Genomic DNA, 26,040 nt, shown 5'->3' with positions numbered 1-26,040 from the left:
TCTAACTACAAATTCTACTCTTTTCATTGTTTGATACTAATTCTGGAATAACATTCCAGGAAAGGTGTGATATGCTACATAGAAGATTGTGTGGGTCTGCTCACAAAGGAGGTCCAGACCTCAAGACTGGGAAGATTTATCAGGATGGCAGTCCTGTCCCTGCCACGAGTGACCTTGGCTATTACCACTGGCAGAAGGAAAATATTTGGTTCCATCTCGCAGGATGGGGGTGGATCAGGGAAATGCTGGTAAAAGGCCCTGATGCCATGTCCAGAGGAAAAATGTTCCACTAGCTCATTAACTCAATCCTCGTGCCCGTAATTTCAGAATTAATTTCCATTACTGACGTTTCTTCTAGTAGTTCCCAGAGGATATTTCTTCCCAGTCAGATAAACCAGATACGGCAACTAAGGAGGGGAGGGGACTATGCTTCTGTCCAGCCACACACAAATGTTTCAATACTGTTAGAGCTCCAAACTAACTTCCTTTAACATCTCGAACCCTAAATTCCACTTTGGGAGTCCCAGGCAATAAGAAATCTTCCAAGGCCTCAGGAAGGCTCCTTGCTGAGTTTGTTTGGAAGGTCATATTCCTAGGAGGTCTTGTAGGGGATGAAGTCATTTTCCAAGCATGGATGTGCACTTTAATTTTCTCTTCCTTTCACACCTCACTTCAGTTCCCCTCTTTTAGGCTACAGAAGAAAGAAGTCTTTCTGGAAGCTCACAGAACAATATTTCCTGAACAGGCTAGAGCCCTTTTACATTGCCTGGGAGGTTTGCATTTCCTTTGATACAAGTGACAACTAAATAGTAATGATGCCTTATAAGTAGAAAACAATAATACTTAACAGTAGAAATAAACAAAAGCAAGTCACCCAGTATATTCAGTTAGAAAGCATAATGAAAGATTCTACTCATGATTTCCACAAAATGTTAAATTTTTAGAAATCTGCTTAGGTGAAGGCAACCTTTAAAATCAAACTACAAAACCTCATTGTATAAAATAAGATTTGATTTGATGAAATGGAAAGGTGTACTTTGTTACAGGATGAGAACATTAATATTTGTAACTGCTTATTCCCCTAAATTTAACTGACAGATTTAATACAGTTTTAATTACAATTCTAGTGCGATATTTTGCAATTTCACAAATTGCTACAAAACTAATCTGGCAATATAAACAGTAAGGATTTTTTATTCTGAAAAGAACCAAGGTTTTAGTAAATGTTATGAAGCCAAGTTCATTAATTCACTCTGATACTCTGATTCAAAGAGAAAAGTGTGGCACAATACAGACAGTCCATAAACAGGTCTGACTATATGAAAGTGTAGCATATGACAAAGCAGATTTCAGTACAACAGGAGAAAGGCGGGGTTATTAAGCACAAGTCTCTGTGAGATGCGGATGGCAAATGAGAAAAGCTTTCAGTAAGATCCACAGGAAACATAAAAAGATAAGTTACAGATGGATAACATAATTAAATATTTCATTTTAAAATTAAATTCTAAAACAACTAGCATGCAACGGAAGAGTCTACATTCTTCACAGACCTAATATTTATCCATGCTTTGATGCATCAGATATACTCAAAGGCAATAGAAGACAGATACGATTGTACCAAAATTACTGAAATTCAGAACAATGGAAACACCAACATTTAATAGACTACAGAAAGACTTTGTAACACTATGACAAAAGGGTTACTATCTCGTTGAAATGTAGGGAAAAAAACTAAGCCTCATAGAAGTCGGCAAAGAATATGAATAAATGACGCATATTAGAAGAAAATTCAAACATATGGAAGAGATTCTATCTTTTCTAGTAATGAAAGGAATGACACTTGAAGCAACTTTGATATATCATTTTACATCTGCAAAATTTGCAAAAGTGGGGAAAAAAAAGCTTAATGCTATCAGAGTTGCAATTTAGCTGATGAGATTCCAGGCAAGGTGGTACGGAATACAACCCTTTTGCAAAGCAATATGGAAGTATATGAAAAGGGCCATAAGGAAGTCCATAACCTTTTCTGTAGTGATTCTGCTTCTGGGAGCAATTCAAGACAAGCAAAGAAAAGTGTGCACCCAGCTGTGATAAGAGCATTATAATAGGCGCAACAAAACAAAAAACCTGGAAAGAACCTAACTGTCCCAAAGAAAAATATTACCTAGTAAATTATGAGGCTTCTTGAGGATGTTCTATGCTTTACCTATTAAAGAAGGCAATTACAGAGGTTATGTGGAAACACAGAAAAACATTTGTGATATGCCACCGTGGGAAAAGCAGAAAACAAAATACCTTCAAGTATTACATATAGGCAAGAATAAGGAAACCTATGAAAATGAAATAGCCATTTGGCTGGCTGCCGAACCACTGAATTTTTCCTTTTCTAAATTTTCTTTAACACTATTACTATATCAGCATTTTGGGGAAAAGGATAGTGTGTGTATGTGTGTGTAGGGGGGTAGTGCAACAACATGGTACGTGTGTTTAATGAAATCGAGCATTTTAAAAGTATTTTGCCTATTCCCTGTACCTTCAGTTGCTTGTGGGTACGATTACTTTGCCAGGATCCTCAGGAAACGACTTTACCTACCTGAAAGGCAGATGGGGACACATATCTAGCATCATTGCTTTTAAGACACTGACTCCAGAGTCTTTCTTTACCCTTGGTGTTACACGGAAACGCTAGAGAGGCAGCCTTTATTGACGATACCTGACTCCCTTCCCCATAGCTCCCTCAGGCTCAGCTCCAGACTCCAAAGTAAACATCTCCTGCTGCAGGGATTCGTTGCAGTTGGGTCCCAAACCCAGTGGCTCCTCTGACTGTCCCTCTTCACTTTAAATCCCGTTCTTGTTTTTGGGGACTTGGTGCATTCCCTGCTTCTCAAGGCTGCCTCACACAGCTGTTAGATTCTAGGTCTACCCTGCCCTACTGCTATAGGCTAGCAGATCACTCCCTTAGCTGGCCAAACTCCAAAGATCCTACTCAAGCAGACTGCTCTTCCAGGAGGGGTGGACAGATAGTGTGTCCGGAACTGGTTCCTTCTGGTGGGTTCTTGGTCTCACTGACTTCAAGAATGAAGCCGCAGACCTTGCGGTGAGTGCTACAGCTCCTGAAGGTGGGGTGTCCAGAGTTTGCTCCTTCCGGTGGGTTGGTGGTCTCGCTGACTTCAGGAATGAAGCTTCAGACCCTCGCAGTGAGTGTTACAGCTCATAAAGGTAGTGTGGACCCAAAGAGTGAGCAGCAGCAAGATTTACCGTGAAAAGCAAAAGACCAAAGCTTCCACTGCGTGGAAGGGGACACCAGCAGGTTGCCGCTGCTGGCTCGGGTGGCCAGCTTTTATTCCCTTATTTGGCCCTGCCCACATCCTGCTGATAGGTCCATTTTACAGAGTGCTGATTGGTCCATTTTACAGAGTGCTGATTGGTGTGTTTACAATCCTTTAGCTAGACACAGAGTGCTGATTGGTGCATTTACAATCCTTTAGGCAGACATAAAATTTCTCCAAGTCCCCATCCCACCCAGAAGCCCAGCTGGCTTCACCTCTCAATAGGGCTAGACAACACCTCTCCAGCTCAAATGACACCAAAGGAACTGATGGGGCATTTTCCAAACAGGCCTTGAATTGTAAACATCTGGTAACACGGATATTTTTTTCTTCTTTAATGATATTAATAGTTAATGAAGGATTTTGTGGTAGTAGACTGGGAATTAGAAAGTACAGCCCAGGGGTAGGAGGGGCACATGCACAGATGAGTATGGCCTGTGATGAGGAGTCACAGCCAGAGAATGAGGCAACAGGAGCTCGCTAAGTACAGGTAGCCATCCTAACTCCCTGAAACTGGTATGAAACCCCAAAGAGCCCAGTGTGGGACACTTAACTTGTTTCTTCACCACCTTTTTTGGATCAGATAGTTAAATCCTCAACTGGCTAATTGCCAAACCCTCCTTCTCCTGAGCTGAACAAAGATTCTCTCTACCTCCTGTGGCTCTCAACCTTGGAGTATAAAGCACTATACAGCATAAGGTATCGTTCTTTTGACACCTTGATTTTCAACTCATAATGGGGTAATTAATACGAATCTAAAGCCGAGAGTCAGAGGTGCCTGAGCCATTGACTTCAGGGAACTTTGTGAAGAGGTTTTTCCCCCCTAAGAAATCTTCCAAGTGGGCCTGGACCAACTCAGCCAGAGCAGTACAGGTCCTTCACAGAAACATGCTTGAAAGGGGGCGACACCCCTGGCATCTTTCATGGGCATCTTGAGAGAAAAGTGAAAACTGAAACTATGAAACAGAATTTTTTTTTTTTTTGAGATGGAGTCTTGCTCTGTTGCCCAGGCTGGAGTGCAGTGGTGCAATCCCAGCTCACTGCAGCCTCTGCCCCCTGGGTTCCAGCAATTCTCCTGTGTCAGCCTCCTGGGTAGCTAGGAATACAGGCTCACACCACCACACCTGGCTAGTTTTTTTTTTTTTTTTTTTTTAAGTAGAGATGGGGTTTTGCCATATTGGCCAGGCTGGTCTCGAACTCATGACCTCAGGTGATCTGCCTGCCTCGGCCTCCCAAAGTGCTGGGATTACAGGCATGAGCCACCGCATCTGGCCATCAAATAGAATCTTAATGAAGTTCAGAAAACAGGAGGAAGGCACAGCATCTGAAAGTACTACTTCCCCCAAATTCAGTGATCATGGCAGTCTTACTTGGTCAGCTAGCAGTTGCCTTACTAAAAAGACAGGACCAAATGTCAAAGGCTGCAATGCACAATAGGACAGCCCTTACCCCAGAAAAGAAAGTTGGCTGCATCTGGTGGCAGAAGGACCTATGGCAGTCACTCTGTCTGCTGCTGTGCTCTTGTAGAGTGACCTTGACTCCAGGGAGCCCCACCTTCGACACCCACAGTACTGCCTTCTTCCTGTCTCCTCATATCACAGGACAAAAGAGAAGAATACTTGAAAAGCAGTGCACAGAAAGGCACTCCTTTGATTTTTTAAATACATAAACTTTGCCACTAAGCAAGGAAAACAGAGGCAAAATCAAACAATCCATCCCCCTCCGCCCACTACTGAATGTCAAATTTACCATTCCCATGGTTTATAATTTACTGAATCCAGCTAACCCTCTCTCTTGGAAGTGCCTAGAATTATTTTTCCTGGATGAGAAGGTGGCGCAATCTCCTTTTTGTTCATGTCATTAGTTTCACTGCCACATGGAAGTATTTCAGAACAAAAGGATGAAAGGCCAGAGCCTAATTTGAGAAGGTGTAAATTCTCAGTCACAGGCATCATTTGCAGCAAGAACCTGTACCCCAGTAAAGTAGTCTCTTTCAGGAAAACACCAACTTAGATTCTGCTTTGCACAAGTTTAGCACATGGAATAGGTATAATCTGCGAGATGGCTCAGATGGGTTGGAGACTGCAAACGAGATGCTATGGTAACCTAGAGTTGATTCTTTCCTGTGGGCACCTAAAGCCGTAGGAAGATCCCCTGGATGGTGCAGACTTAAACTCCAAATGTGCAACTGAAGACAACTGGGGAACCTCCTGCCTTCCAAGACTTTAAAAATAAGAGCCTTTGCCCTATGAGAATCGATGTAGATTTCTGCAACCATTTTCCTCCCCTTTTGTCCCAATCCATAATGGTTGGGGAACAAATTAAATGACTGAGTTTCCCACTAGTCCTGATACTTTTCAAACACTGCTTCTCAAACAGACAGATGAGCATTTTCCATTGAGGGGGAAAAGGTGGTCACTGGTATGCCTCCAAATTGGGCAGGGTCATCCTGTATACATCTGTGCTTTTCTTTGAACACAGATGCCATGGAGAGAACAGTGAGCCAAAATGGCAACCCTAACACATGTTTCTTATTATGGTGTCTTTTAAAAGAGCAAATCGCCAGATATTTGTCAGCGTATTAATGACATTTAGATTGATGACAAGTATGCTTTGGAAAGAGGTGAGGCAATTTTTTTTTTCCGAATTATTCCCACCACCTTCTCCTGTAGCTAATAGATTAAGAATCTGATGTTGCCAAATTTATTCTTTGCATAAAAGGAGCCTGTCAGCCAAATTTGTTTTCTAGTCACTGCTCTGGTTTCTATTTGAACCACCCATACTCCTCCTCCTCATCAGGCTTCAGATGAAACAGTGGACCAGTGACCACAAAGGGTCAATATTAAGAGCTCTGCCCAATTATTTCCATTCACCAAATGTAGCATAATGAGTATTTCCAACAAAGAGTCTAACATTCAAAAAGTCCGATTACCTTGACGTGAAAATTTGAACACTGTTTCTAATCTACTGTTTCTCTATAAAAAAACTCACTGTTCATCCTGAGGATTTATAGATAACAAAATAGGAGTAAGTTTTTTATCATAAAACCCTGCTGACTACTACTGTGTGTAACACCTTTACCCACACAAGCTATAAAGCAGAAGGTCAACTGGATTCTATTTTGTTATCTGATCCTCCTCCCCCTTTCCTGCAGTTCTTCAACTTACATGGGGTTTTTTCCCCCTTGGATGTCCTGTAACAACCAACCTTTATTTTTTTAAATCTCTCTATCTTTTTTGTACTGGTCTCAACTATGATTTTCCTAGTTGGAGATCGATTCTTCTTGTTCTCTCTATATCCACATAATGAGCATGGGGCCAAGTTTATATTACCCAGCAAAACAAACAGCGATCTTGCCTTTTTCTTGAAGTATATGAAGTAGCCTTGGGTGGAGAGGCTGATTCTCCAGGGTCCTGTGTATGTGGGCCTGGGGATAGACAGAACGGATGCTCCTAATACTTAGCACCTGTCCACGGACCAGGGGCTGTTCTGAAGGCAATGACATCATTCTTCTGAACCTCTCATGATTTCATTCTAGAAAAGTGGCCCTCAATCCCAGCTATAGACCGGAATAACTAGTGGAGATTTAAAAATGAATACAAAAGAAGAAAAAAAAAAAACAACATAAAAGCTGGGTCATTTTCATAAGATTCCAATTTGGTGGGCCTATGGTGAGGTCTGAGCTCCCAGGTAATTCAAATGCACAGTCAGGCTTGACAGTCACCCCTCCAGGACTTAGCCACATAGGACCCTTCATGTATGATGCATGCAGTCGGCAAGCACTTCTGTGTTCTCGGAAGCATCCTTTTGGACCAGTGATTGACTTTCCTTTTAATATTTCTCCGGAACTCCAAAGAAGCAAAGAACAAACATGATTGCTTGCCTTTGCTAACTTTAGGACTAATGTTTGACTCTCTCTGCTTCTCTCTCAGCTTTGCTTCTATATATATGATAGATAGAAAGACACAAATCCCTACTACAAAATCTATGTGTGGTGAAGACTGTAGATAAGCTTCTCAGAAGAAGAGTTTCCAGCCCACCATTGTCAACCCCAGATCCACCTGTCTTTACCACATCAAAGGTCAGCTGGACACTTCCTGAACTGCCCCCCATGCATTCTAGACCTCCCTCCCCACTGGTGTGGATGCTGCAGGGCCTGGGAAAAGATGCAGTTAATGGCAAAGCACAAAGCAGACTGGGGAAAGGGACTTGCACTATTGCTTCCCTTACTACTTGGTCACCTCCCTCTGGAATTAGTCAGCTCTGATCTTATGTTCTCACTCCGGTTTCTGTGCTTTGCAGACCCCCAGAACTTAAGGGTACGCCTCAGCATTCATTCTGCATTCTTAGAATTGCATTCTACATTTCTCTCTGTATCTGCAGGACTAGTGTGTCTCAGAGTTGTTTTGAGTTGTCTAATGCTTGGACAGTGCTTTTCGCATGGCTGCTTTCCAAAGCCCACCTTTCAGAGGCTAGCTTAGGTCCAAGCATTCTTCTCATCCACTAGCTTTTCTGACAACTGGAAAAATAAAAGTTAAACAAAAAAACTCCTTTGCTGATCTATGAATGGAAGCTGGGACCCGGACAGAGCGAGCACCATCTGATCTATTTTCTCCCATTGTGCGGGGAGCAAATTTATCACACTGACAATGGGAGGATAACCGACTGGGGCTGACAGTAAAACCTGACTTCCCTTGAGCTGCAAGACACTGTGGCAGGCTTTGCAGCAAAGAAAGAAGGCGTATTAAAAGTAGCACCTGCAGAGCTCCTGCGAGAGGAGGGGGAGCGGCCAGCTCAAAAACACCAAGTATGGTTCACAATTTGAAAAAAAACAACTCCACAAAATTAATAAAATTAGTATCAGTTGTGTTGATGTTTGCCTCCTCCAGTGAAGAAAAAAAATAATAATTCAATCCATTTGCAGCAAGTTTGGTGGTTACCATTAATGTAATGTGACAACTTGGCACCGAAAAGAATGTTGCTGCTGATTTCTGCTCTTTCCACTGAGACAGACCACTGCTGACTGGGAATGATCTTCAGAAGCCTGAAGAAGGAAGCATGTTATCTAAGAGAAGCAGTTTGTGATGGCCCACAGTGAGAGGAAGTGCCAGAGAAACAGACAGATTAACTGACTGACTTGAGCCAAGGCAGGCTATATAAATCACTGGAAACTCTATCATTGTCCAGTCATCAATATGCATCCACAGCTGTTTATGCAACTTGAAGAATCAAAAGAAGATTTAGAAACCCTAGAAAATTGTGCCATGAAACCAGAGAACGGAAAGAACATACAGTAGGTGTTCCATAAGTGCCATGTTCCTCATAAAAATAATAAAGTCTCATTCTATTATTAAATCATGCTGTCATCAAGGTGATTTAACCTCTTTTCTGGTATCATACTAATATCTCCTCCAATCTCAGGCCAATTGGACTTGGCCTGTGATGGGTCATAGTGGGGGTAATAAATATATATCCCTAGAGCCAGAGTTTGATCTTTAATATTCTCTCTGAAACAGAACCAGAGATATTAAAGAGTTATACAATGTCATGTCCTGGGGTAGAAAAATTAAGATGAGCCTGGGTCACTTTGTTGCTGCAAGAAAGCAGGGGTTTGCGCAAAGATATCAGCCATGATGCTGCAGAGGTTAACATGCATTCCCTTGGACCAGGCAAGGAGGATCTCAGTATCCAAGAGAAAACGACGACTGTATTTTGGAACACATTGGGTATTTTAAAGAGATGCGAATTTAAGATGATACTAAAACAGGAATTGGTGACATGTTGTGTGAAATGGTCATTGTAATGTACATTTAGGTTACATTACAGCGAGTTTCCAATGTAGTGTTACAGCAGTGATTCTCAGTTCAAATTCTAATAGCCCCATACTGAAGCTTCTTTTTCAATCACTGGATTATAAAGACAAAATCAGAAAGGTTATTTAAAAGGTAGAAGAGGCTGGGCACAGTGGCTCACACCTGTAATCCCAGCATTCTGGGAGGCCAAGGTGCGTGGATCACGAGGTCGGGAGTTCAAGACCACCCTGGCCAACACGGTGAAACCTCATCTCTACTAAAAATACAAAAATTAGCTGGATGTGGTGGCACGCGCCTGTAATCCCAGCTGGTTGGGAGGCTGAGGCAGGAGAATCGCTTGATCCCGAGAAGTAGAGGTTGCAGTGAGCCAAGATTGTGCCACTGCACACCAGCAGCCTGGGCAATAGAGTGAGACTCCATCTCAAAAAATAATAATAATAATAAAATAAAAGGTAGAAGAACACCGGGTAACATGTTTGGCTCTTGTCATCAATTCTGTAAACATGGTAACCCAGGTTATTCTTTATTGGTTCCTTATTTTTTTTTTAAGCCATTCTGAAAAATTGCAGAAGCTCCATCTGGGAGAGAATGCTGTGCAAGGTCTCATGGGTTACAAACTGGGTGGTCTGAGCCAGCAAGATCTGGTTACAGGGAGGTTCGGGAACATTAGGGATAGCATATTGTCTGACTCAGCATTCCCCTTTCTCTGAAGCCCACTGAGATTTGTAAGAAAAAATTGGATTTGGCCAGAGACTCTTTTCCTAGATCAAGTGAGTGCATTTAAAATAGATCTTACAGGCCAGGGGTGGTGGCACACGCCTATAATCACAGCACTTTGGGAGGCTGGGGTGGGTGGATCACTTGAGGTCAGGAGTTCAAGACCAGCTTGGCCAACATGGTGAAAACCTGTCTCTACCAAAAATTAGCCAGGCGTGGTGGTGGGCATCTGTAATCCCAGCTACTCGGGGGGCTGAGGCAGGAGAATCACCTGAATACAGGAGGCAGAGGTTGCAGTGAGCAGAGACTGCACCACTGCACGCTAGCCAGGGTGACGGAGTGAGATTCCGTCTCAGGAGGAAAAAAAAAAAAAAGTAGATCTTACAGATACGAGTCTTTTGGTTTAGAGGGATATACATGTATGTTAAAAACAGGATCATTTCGGGGGGGGCATGCCTCTGTTTCATGCTAGAACCTGAGGATAAATTAAAGTAGCCTATATTGAATAAAACATGGGGGAAGCTGGAATACAGAAATCTCTTGATTATTTTTGGCATGTTTTGTAAGATACAGCAACTAGGACATTACTCTTCAGGAAAAGGGATTGAAGCAACCAATTTTTAAACATAGTTTAATACAAATATCATAATAAAGGTTTTTTTGTTAGAATTTTATCTTAGTAACAAGGCGTACCATGTGGGAAAAAGAAGTGAAGTCCAAAATAGACACCCTAGAAATTCCTTTTATACAGGGATATATGTTTGGAAAGACAAGTGTAAATGTGAGGAAGTGCGAAGTGGTATCTATTATGCACACACACACATACGCAAAATACTAAGGTTTGTTAATAGCATTAAAATGAAGTTAATATATTTAGAAAATAAGTGCACATTGATGAATTTTTATAGACAGACAAATGGGGAAAGAGACTGGCAGAACTGAAGAATGTTTTGTATTCCTGCAAGCCAAAAACCTAAGGCAAAACAATAAACCAGTTTGAATTGGATCTGTTTGGACCAGGGTTCAGCCCAGCGAACTTACCATTCCTGGTTACCCTGGGAACAGCTCATTTTAATAAAATCTCACAAGAAACTGCAAATGCAATAAATAGTATTAGCAGAGGCCTAGGTAGCTCCACTTGGGGAAAGACATAGTAAGAAGTTCAGAAGGGATTTGTGCCATAGGAAAGACTGAAGTTATGAAAAGAGGAATTGGCATTCCATATACAACAGGTAGAGACTATATTATTGAGAGAGCTTGAGAAGGCTGCAGACAGACCTACAAAGGTTTCTCCCACTGACTTTCAGTGAAATCTGCATAGCTAATAAAGCATGGATTTGTGTATCCCTATTGCTCCACCTGCCCTGCACCATCAAAGTGGTTGCCTGGGAACAGCAGTTGCTCATTCTCCTGGTGACCTGGGTCAGCTGCCTGAGGTCAGAGAATTAATTGTGGCTTCGATGGTTTAGACAGTATCATTGTGGAGGTGAGGTTTTACAGAATCAGCTCCAAAGCTCTATTTCATCGACTCACAATGCCTCAGTCATTACAGCTCAGTTATTTGTACCCATCAAAAACAAATTCTGGAAATTTTCACTGATGTGGTCTTTATAAATTACATGAATGTATTAAATTATCACATGTATTCTGAAACTAGGTACATTATGTATCAACTATAAAATTGTTTAACATAACTGGAGATTTTTTTTTTTGAGACAGAGTCTCGCTCTGTCCCCCAGGCTGGAGTGCAGTGGCGCGATCTCGGCTCACTGCAAGCTCCGCCTCCCGGGTTCACGCCATTCTCCCGCCTCAGCCTCCCAAGTAGCTGGGACTACAGGCGCCCGCCACCATGCCTGGCTAATTTTTTTTTGTATTTTTAGTAGAGATGGGGTTTCACCGTGTTAACCAGGATGGTCTCGATCTCCTGACCTCGTGATCTGCCTATCTCAGCCTCCCAAAGTGCTAGGATTACAGGTGTGAGCCACCGCTCCTGGCCAACAACTGGAGATTTTTATACCCTAGCAGTGATTCTGAAAATTCCTAAAACCAAGTCATAACTTTAGAAACTAAACTATGAAGATATAAGGTGTAAAAAAAAAAAAAGTAATGCATTCAACTTACCTTTCAAATAGCTCATCAAAGACATGAAAATGAGTATTTTAAGGAATGGCTCCACCATGAATAATTTCCACCTCTGGCCCCACCCAGAGAGCAGGACTCAGGAGTCAGCAGAGAGAAGGGCGTTTAAAAGCAAACTCCCAAAGGCTGTTCCTTAGAAGAAACCTCCGTGGTGCGGGCCTCATTTACACTGGGTCAGCTCTCAATTCATTCTTCTAGAACACCCCAGTTCTCCTGCCTACCACCCTCCATCTTTTCAAGGCAGATGAGCAGCAGAGAAACGGGGTCTGGAGCACCAAGCCTCCAGCTGCACATCCTTAATAGGATGGCACCAGGTGATTCTTATCAGTGCCGGTGCCAATGCATGTTTCTCTCTCGAACAAAAACAAAAGGAGGGGCAACTGATGCCTAAAAACTCTAAAATCAAGTGCCTTTCCTCTTCAATCACAGAGGTAGTTATCCACAAAGAAAGAGGTGAATAACCACAACCAGCAAGGGAATTGACTATCCGGGTTTCAGTAAGAACATTTTTTAAGGCATTTTTTTAAACCAAAACACCTATCTGATATTTGGGCAAAACTACTTAGTACATGGAATGCGTGAGCTGTAGGCAAGAATAGGCCTTACAGAACAAGTTCAAGAACAAGTACAATTTCAACCACAGGAATGAAACTAATCATCAATATAGGAAGGGTACTAAAAAACAGTTTTTCCCATTTTCCTGATGACTTATGAATCCTTCATCACGGGTAGACACTGATCCTGGGATAGACGTTTAGGAGCCACTCATTTAGTTCAGAGTCCATGTTTTGCAGGTGGGACAGCAAGGACCAGAGAGTGGGAATACCAAGGCTAGAATGTCCACCCCCTGCCTAGTCCAGCACTTTCCTCCCTCACACCAGAGCAACATCACGGAACTCAGAAACAAGACTCAGCACTTTCCCCATCTCCCACCTCACTACAAGCCCAAGTACATGCAGTACCCACAGCAGGAAACTCTAGGTGGAAGCAGAAGCATTCTGCCTTCAGCTTTCGTCTTACTTTGCAGATAACCATTTCAGCCCTCTGCAGAGCAGAAGTGATTTTTACACCATGGTTCGCCTAAATATATTTGGTCTTATTCCCACTTTCTTTCCACCGATTCCACGTCATCATTTTAGCTCCTTCCATTCTAAAACCAGATAGTGGCAATCATAGGACTGGAGTGTTGGTCACAAGGTTTTTACTCAAGTAAGGATGAAAATGCCAGCTGAGATCAGGGTTTCTCTAGCACCAAGTTAACTTTTCTTTACCAGAATATCCAGATCGGTGCTCTTATTAAGCTTTAATGAAATGGAAATAAATTGAAGTTTGCTCTAGTTCATTCATTTCTCACTACAAATATGTAATTTAAACTCAGGTATTTATTAAAAAGCGAATTACATGATCAAAGGAAAACTCTAATAAATAAACTGAAGAGTTTCCATTCTCCTAGGATTTAAAAAACTGCAAATGTGCTTTATTTTCAAAAAGTAAGCAGGTTTCTTAAAAGATTTCCCCAAAATTCAAATATTGTACAATTAAGGATTAAAACATGTTGCCAGAAACGCAGCTGAAATTCATTTTTACAACCCATCTCTACTCCTGTCCCCCATGAAACAGTTATTTTTCTCAAAACTCTCAGCAAAATCTCTTATCAAAACATCTCCCTGAATAATAAACTGTTTACCTACAGATTGTGTCCTGGAGAAAGCTTAGACACCCCCAATCCCTCCTCATGCCTCTAAGAAACTTTCATGAAGATGTTTACATTTTTTTGCAATTAAAATATAGAAACAACCACCACCACCAACAAATATATTTAGTCCAGCCATGGAGAAGCAGCTCAGGCTTTCTAGATCACAGATACAATTATGACAAGATTATTTCAACAGAGCATTCCAATGTCCACAGCAAGGATGAACAGAATTCTAGTTTGTGTAACATTAGCAAAGCTAAATGTTAACACATTTGCAAAAACACCGCCAGGATCAGACAGGCATATTGATCTTAAACATGAGGTGCCGACTTCACAACACGCCCATTTCACCAAAGAAAAGACAGTCACACTAAAGCTGAAGCACTATATTCAATAAATGGGGGGATTTGAGAGAGTCTGGAGCTTTAAAAATCTATTCTGTGGGCTCTTTCACTTGAAAAGGCTTCTAACTCAGCATGTGAAGAAATGTAAAAAGCTAGTTAACCTGAATGGTTATTCTTAATTGTTGAAGTTCACGTTTAATTCTTCTGCTGGTTCACTTTGGAGATATGGCAGGAGAAAGAAAATATCAAACTAGCTTTTTCCATTTTTATCATGAATTCCAGCCTCATGGAATAGCAGAGCTGGAGTTGCATAATAGCACTGGAAGAGGTCTGAAGCATCGAGAAGCTGAGATGAAGGCAAAGCTACACACTTGTGTCATCTCACCAGATTGAACCTATGATCACAGGCCATCTAGACCATATTCAGAGCAAACAAGAGAGGCTTTAAAAACAACTTGCAGCCGGGCGCGGTGGCTCACGCCTGTAATCCCAGCACTTTGGAAGGCCGAGGCGGGCGGATCATGAGGTCAGGAGATCAAGACCATCCTGGCTAACACGGTGAAACCCCGTCTCTACTAAAAATACAAAAAATTAGCCGGGCGTGGTGGCGGGCGCCTGTAGTCCCAGCTACTCGGGAGGCTGAGGCAGGAGAATGGCGTGAACCCGGGAGGTGGAGCTTGCAGTGAGCCGAGATCGCGCCACTGCACTGCAGCCTGGGCGACAGAGCGAGACTCCGTCTCAAAAAAATAAAAAATTAAAAAGAAAACAACTTGCAATGTTTTGAAGAAATAAAAAATGAGTCCACAGGCAAGTCATTCTAATTGGAGAGCAGTGGTAAAACAAACTGCCTGGCGACGAATTTCTATGTGTGCAGCCACCTCTAATTTCACAACACTGAAGGGTGAGGTGCACTAGTGGTTTTTTTTTTTTAATTGCAGAGACACAAAGAATGGAAACTGCCCTGAACACTCACAAGTGAAAGGCCCAGTTCATGACAAATACAGCTTGAAGTCAGTTGTCCATGCAAAGTACATGTATATTGAAGGAGTGAATAACATACCCATTCCGAGAGATCACTGAGCTAGCAAAATCAAAAACAAAACAGTAAATGGATATTTTAGCGTGTGCAGGTTTTGCTGAAAGCTTTCAACTTATTTGAGGAGTCTACTGATGCTTACTAAAGAGTTTTTTTTTTTTTTTTTTTTTTAAAGAGAGAAAAAAGAGGGTGGATTTCCTACCTGGTAAATATTTTGTTATCTTAGAGGTTTGCAAGAGCGTTAAATGTAAAAGTTTGTTTTTCCTGTTTTTCTCTAGTACAGTGCTGATGTCATCAACAAACTATAAGCAAGCAATGTGCTGTCGCCTAAGTCAGCTGAACCACTTTTTTATAACTAACATTTAAAAAAAAAATCCACCCAAGAAAAATGGTCAATACCTACATCAGGCAATTTGGAATTTCTCATAGAATTGCAATCAATTATATCAATCAGATTTTGCTTAGACCAAGAAAGGTGCTTTCTTACCATGAAGTAAGGTCTTCCTGATGGCATATTTTAACCAAAAATCATGTCATCAAAAGGCCAGTCCAAAAATGAAATGTGAGTTATTTGCACATATCTTCATAAATATCAGCTTATCAGGGAAACATTAAAATCCATTATATCAGCATAAAATCCTAAAATCATAGCATAACATGACAAAGGACAGTAAGGAGGGGAAAGGAAAGGGGGAAGAGGATGTACATGTTTAATGACAATTTGGTCTGTGGAAAAAAACACATTGAAACTTTAGTTTGGAGGCCTCTCATTTATAATAATATTTAATTTATCAAAATGATTCCTAGCTCTTTGAGGAAAGAAAACCTGTCAAATATACATGATATGTCCCCTAAAATTCCACGAGAAAATTCACAGGAGAACCTTGTCTCAAAAAAAAAAAAAAAATTAAAATTATGTACTCAATGCTTAGTGCTTTAGGGTTGCTGTCCTGGATGGATTTTGTAAAATTCTCCTTGTCCACAGCAAAGAAGAAAGAGAATACATTTATTCATTCTACCTAAATAAATGGGAGCCGAGGTCTCAAGTAATGATTAATACAAAAAGGGGAACATTTCCACAGCTCATCAGTGATGGGCTATAGCCCACAGGACACACCAGAGGAAGTGACGTGATGACACTTTTCCAGTTTAACTTGGTACACTGCAACCATTACAGACCTGAGAAAGGACTTTGCATCTAAGTGATGTCATGTAGAGGTGGGGAACCTAAAGCCCAGTTGGTAAGATATTTGCTTGAAGTTAAATTTCCAGTTGGTGGCATTATTAAGACCAAATCTAAACCTCCAAACACCCAGCTTTGTCACCGAAACAGGCTGCCTGCCAGGAGTACATCTGTAAAATGAACTCTAACACAGGGCAGCTTTTAAAGCGCAGGTTTCGACAAGCTTTTGCACATGAGAGCAATTTTGCCAAGTTGATTTGTTATTTTGCGAGTATAAAAAAACATTATTTTTGCAGCAGGTGTGGATGGTCAGCCATAGATTTAAAAAGGGAAAGAACAGCATCTGAAACCAGAATGTTATTTTTCTCCCTCTCCAAGGAAAAAGCAGAGTCAAGTCAAGCAAGTTAAAAATTTAATGATGTGATATCCTGTTCTTACCAATCAGGTGTAGGGAGGAGGAGTGTCCCAAAGGTTAGCAGCCTGAAAGTCATCGGCACTGGGGTGGGGAGGTCCTGAGCAAGGGCACCAAGGATGTTCTTGGACAGCTTGAGGCAGTGGCTTTTTACCAACGAATACAAAGGAAATTCAGGCTTTTAACACCTAGCATGGCTACTCTGGCTGTAGGGACTTGACACATACATGGGCAAGACCTAGGACTTACATCACAATATAAGCATGAGTGACTTAAAAAGGAAATCTTATGAACTCTCCTGAAGTGTAATCAATGCTTGCTAGATTTGACTCATTCAATTATGTATTTTTAAAAATGTAATATTAAAACATGTAAAAATGGGGATGAGGTTTAGAATTATGGACGCAGTTCCTCCATCAGTCATGTTTCCTCCTCACACACATACAAAATAAATTCTATTACCAATTTTTTTCTAACATTTCTAAAGGGAAGATAAAAACCTCAGAGTGAGATGCTAAATCTGGATGGTGGTGGTTCCCCTTTTCTTCTATGGTATAAAAATGTTGGCAGGCACACAGGAACCCAGGAAGAAAGAAGTAAGGATCCTATTAGCCCTCTTCATTCTAGAGGAGTTTGCACAACATGTCTAAATCTTGGCACAGCCACAGTTCAGACTTTAAACAAGGGGCTTCTAATAATTCCCTTCATCAGTGTTTGTTTTGATGTATTTATCAGCTAGCAGTGTCACAGCAGATGCACTGTTAGCCAATTCTTTTTTAATGATGTTGCCACCTGTCACTAAATTTTTTGTGAGTTTATGAGATGAATGAATGTCCTGAACCTGGCTGCAAGGTAAATATCTCATGTATCTCATGACATGCACTCTAAGGACCTTTACACGGATATAGCATAATGTATGTTTACGCTTCACTGGCCGTTTACAAGGTCACATGATACCAGGAGACAACCCCTAGCAGTCACAGGCATGTCATCTTCAAGAAGCAGTAACATATGACAAATGTGCCACACCATTTCACTAGCAACCATGCTGTGTGTGGTATTCCCTACTGTAAAGACAAGAATAAATCAAAGGAGCCAAAAGCTCCTTTCAGAGTTAATGGGACTATCAAATCACACAAGTAATACGGGGAGATGAAGAACTTCTCAGTGAGGATGTCTGTTATAAAGGTTCTTGCAGAAATAATATCTTTCCAGGTCACATTTCCCAATCAAGGTTTTTTGTTTTGTTTTGTTTTGAGATGGAGACTTGCTCTGTCGCCCAGTCTGGAGTGCAGTGGTGCAATCTCAGCTCACTGCAAGCTCCACCTCCCAGGTTCACACCATTCTCCTGCCTCAGCCTCCCGAGTCGCTGGGACTACAGGCGCCCGCCACCATGCCCGGCTAATTTTTTTGTATTTTTAGTAGAGATGGGGTTTCACTGTGTTAGCCAGGATGGTCTCGATCTCCTGACCTTGTGATCCGCCCGCCTCAGCCTCCCAGAGTGCTGGGATTACAGGTGTGAGCCACCACGCCCAGCCCAATCAAGGTTAAAAGGCTGCTTGTGTATTAGCATACCAGATATTTTAGCATCCAAAGTCAGGCATAATCTTACGTGTTCTGGACATGGATAAAGTGTCATGTTCATGTGGCAACTATACAATTAGTTTTATATTTTTATAAATACCATTTATATAATTCATTTTATATTTATATTTCATCTCTCTTCGTAGTTGTAAAGATCTGACATTGATGAAGTCAACTTTTAGAGAAAACCGGAGCCCTTATCGGCAGGAGTGCAGCTGGTAATTGTGTTAACCAAGGCCTTTCATTCCTAGAAGCATTATGCCAGTTCATGTCAGAACCCATTTGGAGTTAAGTTTAACATGCACCTAGTTGTGTAGCACAGGACTCTCCTTCCTTTGAGGAAGTTTGAATATTCCTGAAGGATCCGTATAACAGGAGGAAGTGGACCAGGGATGAACAGAGGAACCAATACTTTTATTTTCAAACTCACAGGTAGTTGTAGGCACTGATCTCATTTAATTCTCACCCAGTCCTACGAGATAGATTGCATCTTGAAGATGTGGAAAGTAAGGTACAGAAAGGAGAAATAATTTGCCCCAGAGGTCACCTGGTCCAATATAGGCTGGACTGAAAACACATCTGCCTGACACTGAAGACTGAGCATTTTTTTCATCACAAATGCTGTTTGCTCTCACTTTAAAGTCATTTCTGTAGGATGATGGGGATTGAGGGCTTAGAGGGAGGTGGGGACATCTCTTTTGGCTCCATGTCCTGCTGAAGGTTGGTAGACACTGTAGGTCTAATCAATTGAAAATGTGAAAATACTCTAATATTTGATTGCAGGAATTTTACTTCAAACTGTAGCCATAAAATTGGCCACAGTGCCAAGCATCTATCCCTCGGTAATTTTCCCCAGAATAAAATTACATAGGATTAGATCAGAGGTAAAGTGATCCAAGGAGGAGCTGAGATAGGGCAGACCCTGAGAGGCACAAAATGTTCTCTGCTCCAGGTCCTCCTCATCACTGATTCTCCTTCTCAATATGAAGCTGGCTTCCATGTGCTACTGGCTGCAGCTAATGACATTTAAATAATAAAGAAACCTCTTTGCTGTTAAATTAGGGCATTTTGTTTTCTTTGTTAGCAAGAGAAATTGCTGCAGAATTGTAATCTTTGCAGAAAGACTTCTGTACACTCAACACGTGAGTAAACAGCTGAAGTCATTTTTAAAAATGTCCAGTAGCTACACAGCAGTGAACAGACACAGTACACCAGGACCAATTTTTGACTAGAAGGAAAAATTATACTCTTCAAAGCCTCCCATTTGGTGGCAGTCATGATCATTAGTGAAAGCAATGTCTATTTAAAAGCAGAAAATGGCTATTTCCAAACAGAATGGAGTGGCATGCAAAGAATGCTCCATCCCACTCAAACATCCCCAGGCTCTCCAGAGAATCATTCTGCTCTGTCATGTTAACTCACTTCCTTCTTTATTTTTCCTCTTTTTCTTCCCTGCTGAATATTTTCTTCTAAAATCAAATTAAATACCAATAGTAAATGTGTACAGTAATTACTTCAGAAAAGCAAAATAATCAGACTCCAGAGATGATATAAAACTTGCATTTTTCATACGAAAGACTAAGAGCCCAGACGGAATTGTGAGAAAGTTCCAAGAGGGTTCTAGTACCTGAAGCTGCTGTTCAGGTAACTATTTTGTGGAGTCATCAATGCACAGTAAAGTAATATGACTTGAAAAAAGTACCTTCCCATCTGTGTTCCATCTCTCTTCTCAAGTCTCTTTTCTCTGAGATCTCCAGTGAATACTACTCCTTATAATAGTGATAAATGTGTCAAGGTGGGAAATAACTATTAGGTCTCTCTTCTCTTTGGCAAAAATAGAACAAAAGGCAATATGGAAAATTTCAGAGTCTGACTCAACATGATGATGATGATAATTCTATAGATATTAACAAAAATGTCATGGATCATTTATTTTGAACATGAGTTTTTAAAGAAGAGTAGATTATTCAAATAAGATTTAATGTATTGGTTTCTACATGTTGTAACTTATAAATGGCTTCTGAAATATATAATTATATTAAACAAACTTCTGCTATAACATGCTTGGTAATTAAGGTAGGTCTTATTCATATATTCTAAAATGAAGAGCTCAATTTTATTAAAGTGCGTCCCTCCATTCTACTTGGAACATGAATGATTACTTATTCCCCTTAAGACAAACCAAGTTAAGACTATTAAGTTCTTTGCAACAAGGAAAAACCAGAACTTTTGAATTTACTTTCTCATCTATAGGACTCTGAACCACTCAAGCTAAATGATAAAGAAAAAGAAGTCCTTTGAAATATACTTTTACAACAAAACAGGATAAGAGATTAACCAAGAAATAATTCTCCAATTAACATAGTATGTCTTTGTCTTCTTAATTTCTATCCTGAGACCATGGTAGGCTGGGTCTAGTTTGATACTGAAAGTGGTGATATTTAAAATCAACTAGGTCTCCCTCAGCAAAGATTTCTTTATATGATACATCTTGGAAAAAGAAGAGTGATCAATTAAAAAAAAGTTTCCCGGCCAGGCGTGGTGGCTCACACTTGTAATCCCAGCACTTTGGAAGGCCAAGGTGGGCAGATCACGAGGTCAGGAGATCAAGACCATCCTGGCTAACACGGTGAAACCCCATCTCTACTAAAAATACAAAAAAATTAGCCGGGCATGGTGGCGGGCGCCTGTAGTCCCAGCTACTCAGGAGGCTGAGGCAGGAGAATGGTGTGAACCTGGGAGGCGGAGCTTGCAGTGAGCAGAGATCTTACCACTGCACTCCAGCCTGGGCGACAGAGCAAGACTCCGTCTCAACAACAACAAAGTTTCCCTAAACTGGAAGTGTTTGAGAGTATGTGGAAGATATAAGATGCTGAGGTCAATGCAAGGAACAGGGAAATGAACCCAGACTGAGGAGAACATTAAATGAACAAAAATCTCACCTTTGTTAATGATCTAAGACACAAAGCAAACTATTCTCAGTTGTCTTACTAAAGCATACTGCTATAAATCAAAAGAGTGAAAAAACACAAATATTTGGTATTAAGGGGTTTAGAGATCTAATTCACAGAACACTGTGGCCCCAAGAGATTAGATGTACCCAAGATCACATTAAGGGCTGGAGGATGGCCGAAATGTAAACATCGATTCTCTTGATTCTATGGTCAATTGTCTCTTCTATTACAAATGAGACATGTCCGTATTATGTACAACTTCAAGCGAGAACAAACTGTGCTACTAGGTAACTGCAAACAGTTTCTACCCACAGACAGTGTACTCTCCAGTAGCGAAGAAAAAAGACTTGCAATGACAGTACAGAGTGATAAGAGCTATGACAGAAAAAGTACCTAATGTTGTCCCAGCAACAGACTTGTGGGGTCAGCAGAGGCTTCTCAACTCATCTAATAACTAAACTAGTTCCTTGAAGGATACGTAGGGATTACATAAGGGAAGTGAGAGAGGAGGAGGGAAGCTGTTCCATGTGGAAGGAATAGGTGATATGCAGGATCAGAGGCAAAAGAGAACTGGCATGTTTGAGGCAGAGAGAGGAATTCGATGTCGCTGGGATACTGAGTACTTGGTGGGATGTGGTGAGAGATGGGGCAGGAAAGGTGAACAGGGCTCACCAACTCCTAAAGGGCTCTAAGCCATGTTTAGGAATTTGGAATTTATCTCAAAATAATGGGAAGACAAAGGATTTTAAAACAGGCAACTGTAATAATTGTATTTGCATTTTGGAAAGAACTGCTGAGTGGAAAAACGGGAGGAGGGGGTAAGTATAGGAGGAATCAAAGCAATTAATAGGCTGTTGCCGTAACCAAAAGGTAGAGGACAGTCATCTAATGGAGTATGGGGGATTGAGGATGGTGGAGAGAAATGGTTGAATTTGAGATATTCAGGCAGTAGAATTAAAGTATTTGATGACAAATATATAAAAATGAATGTGAGCCATTAGGAAAGGGAAGAGTCAAAAATTATTTTGAAATATCTGGCCAAAGTCTTGCCCAAAAGCCTTCTGACATAGGCAATATGGAGCTTGTCTCTTAGTTATAAGGATCATTTTACTGACAATGGAAACTCAAGACAATTCTGTACTTGCTCATCATCAGTGAAACCATCAAGTTCTGGACACATGTCAAAGACTCATAATTCTGTAGGAAATCATGTTTGAACTGTTGTAACTTGGTTGTGCTCCATTGGAGCAGTCCTAACTCCCCAGTGAGGTTTTTCCAAGGAAAAAGAAACTGCCTCACAGGCATGCTCAATCTCAAGACCCTCTCAGCCTCTCCACATTCGCTGGTGAATTCTGGGATAAGAGAGGGGAGTAGGCTTAACATCCTGTGCCTTGCTCATGCAGCATTAGTGGTGGTCCATTTTCTGGTGGAAGCTGATTAACTCAGAGGAAGCAGAAGTAGGGTTGCTGAATAACACCAACTCAACTCAGGGAGAAAGATTTACTATCTCCATATGAATCATCTCAACAGTCTTAAAATTTTTCAGTTCAAAGTTGGATGAAATGTAGAACGTATTTTGGGGATGTGGTGCACCCCAATCCCAACCTAGGACACAATTCGGGTACTCACCCCTTCGCCGCCATTTTCACCTGTGTTGGCAAGCATTTCCTGCAGGGCTCTGACAGATAGGGACTGTTCCAGCACAAAATTGCAGACGCAGAGATCTGGAGGAATGTACTGTGGAAATAAAATCAGAATGAGGATACCTACTCATATCAGTCAGAGATCAGTCACGCAACAACATCTCAAGGGCAAAGAGCCTATGAATCAAAATGACAGTTGGATGGATGAATAGGAATGCAAAAAGGTGGCTTTCTCCTGTTCAAGATGGGTTTTAAGCTGGTTTCTAAAGAATGGTAAGAAAAGCCCCATATATCAAGGGAATAGTTTCCAACATGTCAGGATCGACTTGAGGGAAGGCTGGTGGTTCATATGGAAGAACACAGATATAGCCTTGCCAAAGAAGGGAGAGGAAGGGAAGGCTGATCTACAGCCACGTCTGGGTGAGACCAGAGAAAGAAAGCCACTGGGATTTCATCCACGATAATCTGTAAAAGGGCAGTGGACAGACCATAATGTGGCTCTAGACAGTAGTGACCCTAATAGAGAATCCATTTATTTGTTAAGAAAACCTAGATAGAGTATAAAAAGAGGCCACAGAGGGGGTTAAGAGCTATATAAATATAGCATAATCAAAGGAATGTCCAGAACTTTAAGAATTGATGATCCCTATAACAATCATTCCAATTTATTAGAATCAGTTAACAGTGACCAGTTAACATCGTGACATTCATGCCTATTCTGGGACATTTCTTAACAGTTAAAGATAGCCTTCTTTGCATACTAACAGTAGCTAATATTTATTGAGTACTTTATGCCAGGTACTGTTCTAAGGGCTTTGCATAGGTTAACTCATTTAATCTTCACAACCATCCTATAAGAGAGGGACTATTAATATTCCAGTTTCTAGCCAAGGAAACGAAGGCACAGTGAGTTTAGGTCGCCTGCCCAAGGGTTACATTTGGCTGAGTCAGATACAAATCCAGACAGTCTGTCTCCAAAGTCCATGTGCTTAACCCTACACTGTTCCTGCCACTAAGAAAAATATTAAAGTTTTTCTTCACTGTGAGAACATTTTAGATCAGCAAATATTCAAATATTTCATTTACGTAGTGCTTGATATTGGAAAAGATACAAAGAAATACAAAGCAAAACCACTGCCTTTCTGGAGTTTACAATCCCATTTCAATGACACACCATTTTCCTTGAGAATACAGCTTGTGATCACCTGTGTACCAATCCTTTGTTTCCTACATGATATTGGCAGAACATCAATACCATGAGAACAACAGGAATGAGGAATGAGGGCCAGAAACTACCGACAGCCATGCCTAACACTTCAAAACAGGTAAAGCTGTTTCCATGGAGCTCCACTTTAAAAGCTAAACCAAGTCTGTTACTAAGGCTCCGACAACCTCTCTAACTTCAGCATTTAGTTTTAAAATAAAAATAATGGAATTGACCATCTTTAAGTTCCCTTTAATTTCTGAGTGTTTATTCTTCCTCCCCTCCCAACTGCAACATTCTCAAAAATAAGATAATCGGCCTGCTGGACCTGCCTACAATTTTCCTTTATTAAAGTTTTAAGCCAGTAATGGACAATCCTATTCCAAAGGCTACTGGCTCTGGGTGACGTACATTTTCAAGTACTTTTCTACTAAGGATTTGAGGGAGTACTTTTCTACTTAAATACTTTTCTACTCAAGGTCTCTATGCTGAGAAATCCTAAAAACCTAGTCTTAGAATTCTGGCAATACAGGAATTTGCCCAATCCTTTTTTATTAAAACCATTAACTAAGAAGAGATTGTAACAGAGGAGGATTACCGCCTTTATTTTGTGTTGCTCCCTTTGTTTTCAAAGTCTGTTCCCAAAGCAGGTAATTAACTTATTTGTATGGGACTTGAGCAAGCAGGCAGCTGGTGATGCAGGGCAGAGCTTCATGTCCAGGAAATGTTTGTACAGTACATACAGCATTATTACAAATAGCATACAATTATATGATAAAGCATTTCCTTAAGACCTTATACCATAAACATATATTGTCTAACTTAGCCTTCCAAAATATGATGCCATCTCAGGAGATTTTATAGAGATTTTTCTACCACTCTGCCTACCTGAATTTCATGTTCCCAGAACAGGAAGCATAAAAGCCATAGTTTGCTTGTTTCTTCCTCTTCCAATTCATCAGAATGAATGATTTGGAGATTTCCCATTGAAGAATGTCTGCAGTTATGGTTGGCCCTTTAAAGTCTGCTTTAAAGTTTAATTTGGCAAATTAAATGGTCACAACATTAATGCCCACTTTTACAATAACATATTCAGTCTATTCTCTTTAAGACAGAAACCCTCATAGCTCCAAATGCTAAAGATTCTGCCCTTACATGACATCATGTAATTCTAAGTCAGCTTGCTTTCCTTCCTGTGTCTGGTTTGAGACAGGAGACAGGAGCTCTCCTTGTCTCTGCCATCAGCCATTTTGAAGGAGAAGCACTAATAGATAATAGGGACACTAGGCATGCTATGATTATAGCTGTCCTTTCAGTCCAGGTATTGAAAGTCCCCAGGTGCTCACAATTTCATTACTGGTTTGAATGGGTATATTTAAACAGGACAATAGTGTGCATGGAGAGGAAGCCTCTCAAATGGGAGCACTGTACCTGCCACTAGTTTACAGAGTTTCCTGGCAGCTTAGTTTCTGTACCTCTGGTGTGTGGTCCCTGCCTGGACTCTCTGTACTTGGAAATAAGAGCATGCCACTCCAACAGCACCCAAAACAATGTGTGGGCAGTGGTAAGGGAGGGAACAGAGCAACTGGAATGTCTGGAGAAAAACAAAACAACGAAAAACTTGTGACATGAATGGAGCACAGAGCCATCTGACCTGCTATGCCAGCTGCCATCCTTAATTAAACTCCAAACTGGCCTGAACTCCCACCTCCACACTCCTGATGAATGAGCAAAGGCCACTCGTCCATTAAAGCTAATTTGTTTGTAGCCATGAGAGTCCCCTAGGAGGCCAGCTCATTGTGTCTGTGCTGTGGAACCTGTGGCCTCAGTCACTCTACCTGGCAGGCACGGGGCAAGTGTTTGATGACTCTCAGCATGGAGAGAAGGGCTCTGTTGACATCTGTTCTGAAATAGCTCCTCATCACTCTCCCCAAGCCCTGCCCTGAACCTAGAGAAGCACTACATTTCCAAATGTCCTACAGGAAA

General features: G+C 41.1%; 1 protein-coding gene across 20 annotated transcripts in view; it reads right to left on the bottom strand.

Moving 5' to 3' along the window:
• The window catches only part of RYR3 (ryanodine receptor 3), a 555,136-nt gene that overhangs the window by 339,528 nt on the left and 189,568 nt on the right, over positions 1 to 26,040 (bottom strand). For 19 of the 20 annotated variants that reach the window (XR_001751370.2, XR_001751371.3, NM_001036.6 and 16 more), the window contains exon 3: positions 22,837 to 22,944. The exons of the other annotated variant lie outside the window; for it this stretch is intronic. Coding sequence is in view for 17 of the 19 variants with exons in the window: in NM_001036.6 (NP_001027.3) it covers positions 22,837 to 22,944 (108 nt within the window). In the remaining 2 variants the exon portion in view is untranslated. The remainder of the gene's footprint in view (positions 1 to 22,836; positions 22,945 to 26,040) is intronic. 20 annotated transcript variants of the gene reach the window in all.

Source organism: Homo sapiens, chromosome 15 (assembly GCF_000001405.40).
Source record: "Homo sapiens chromosome 15, GRCh38.p14 Primary Assembly".
NCBI lineage: Eukaryota > Metazoa > Chordata > Mammalia > Primates > Hominidae > Homo > Homo sapiens.
Note: the sequence above shows the minus strand (reverse complement) of the source record. Positions and strands in the feature narration are given on the sequence as shown.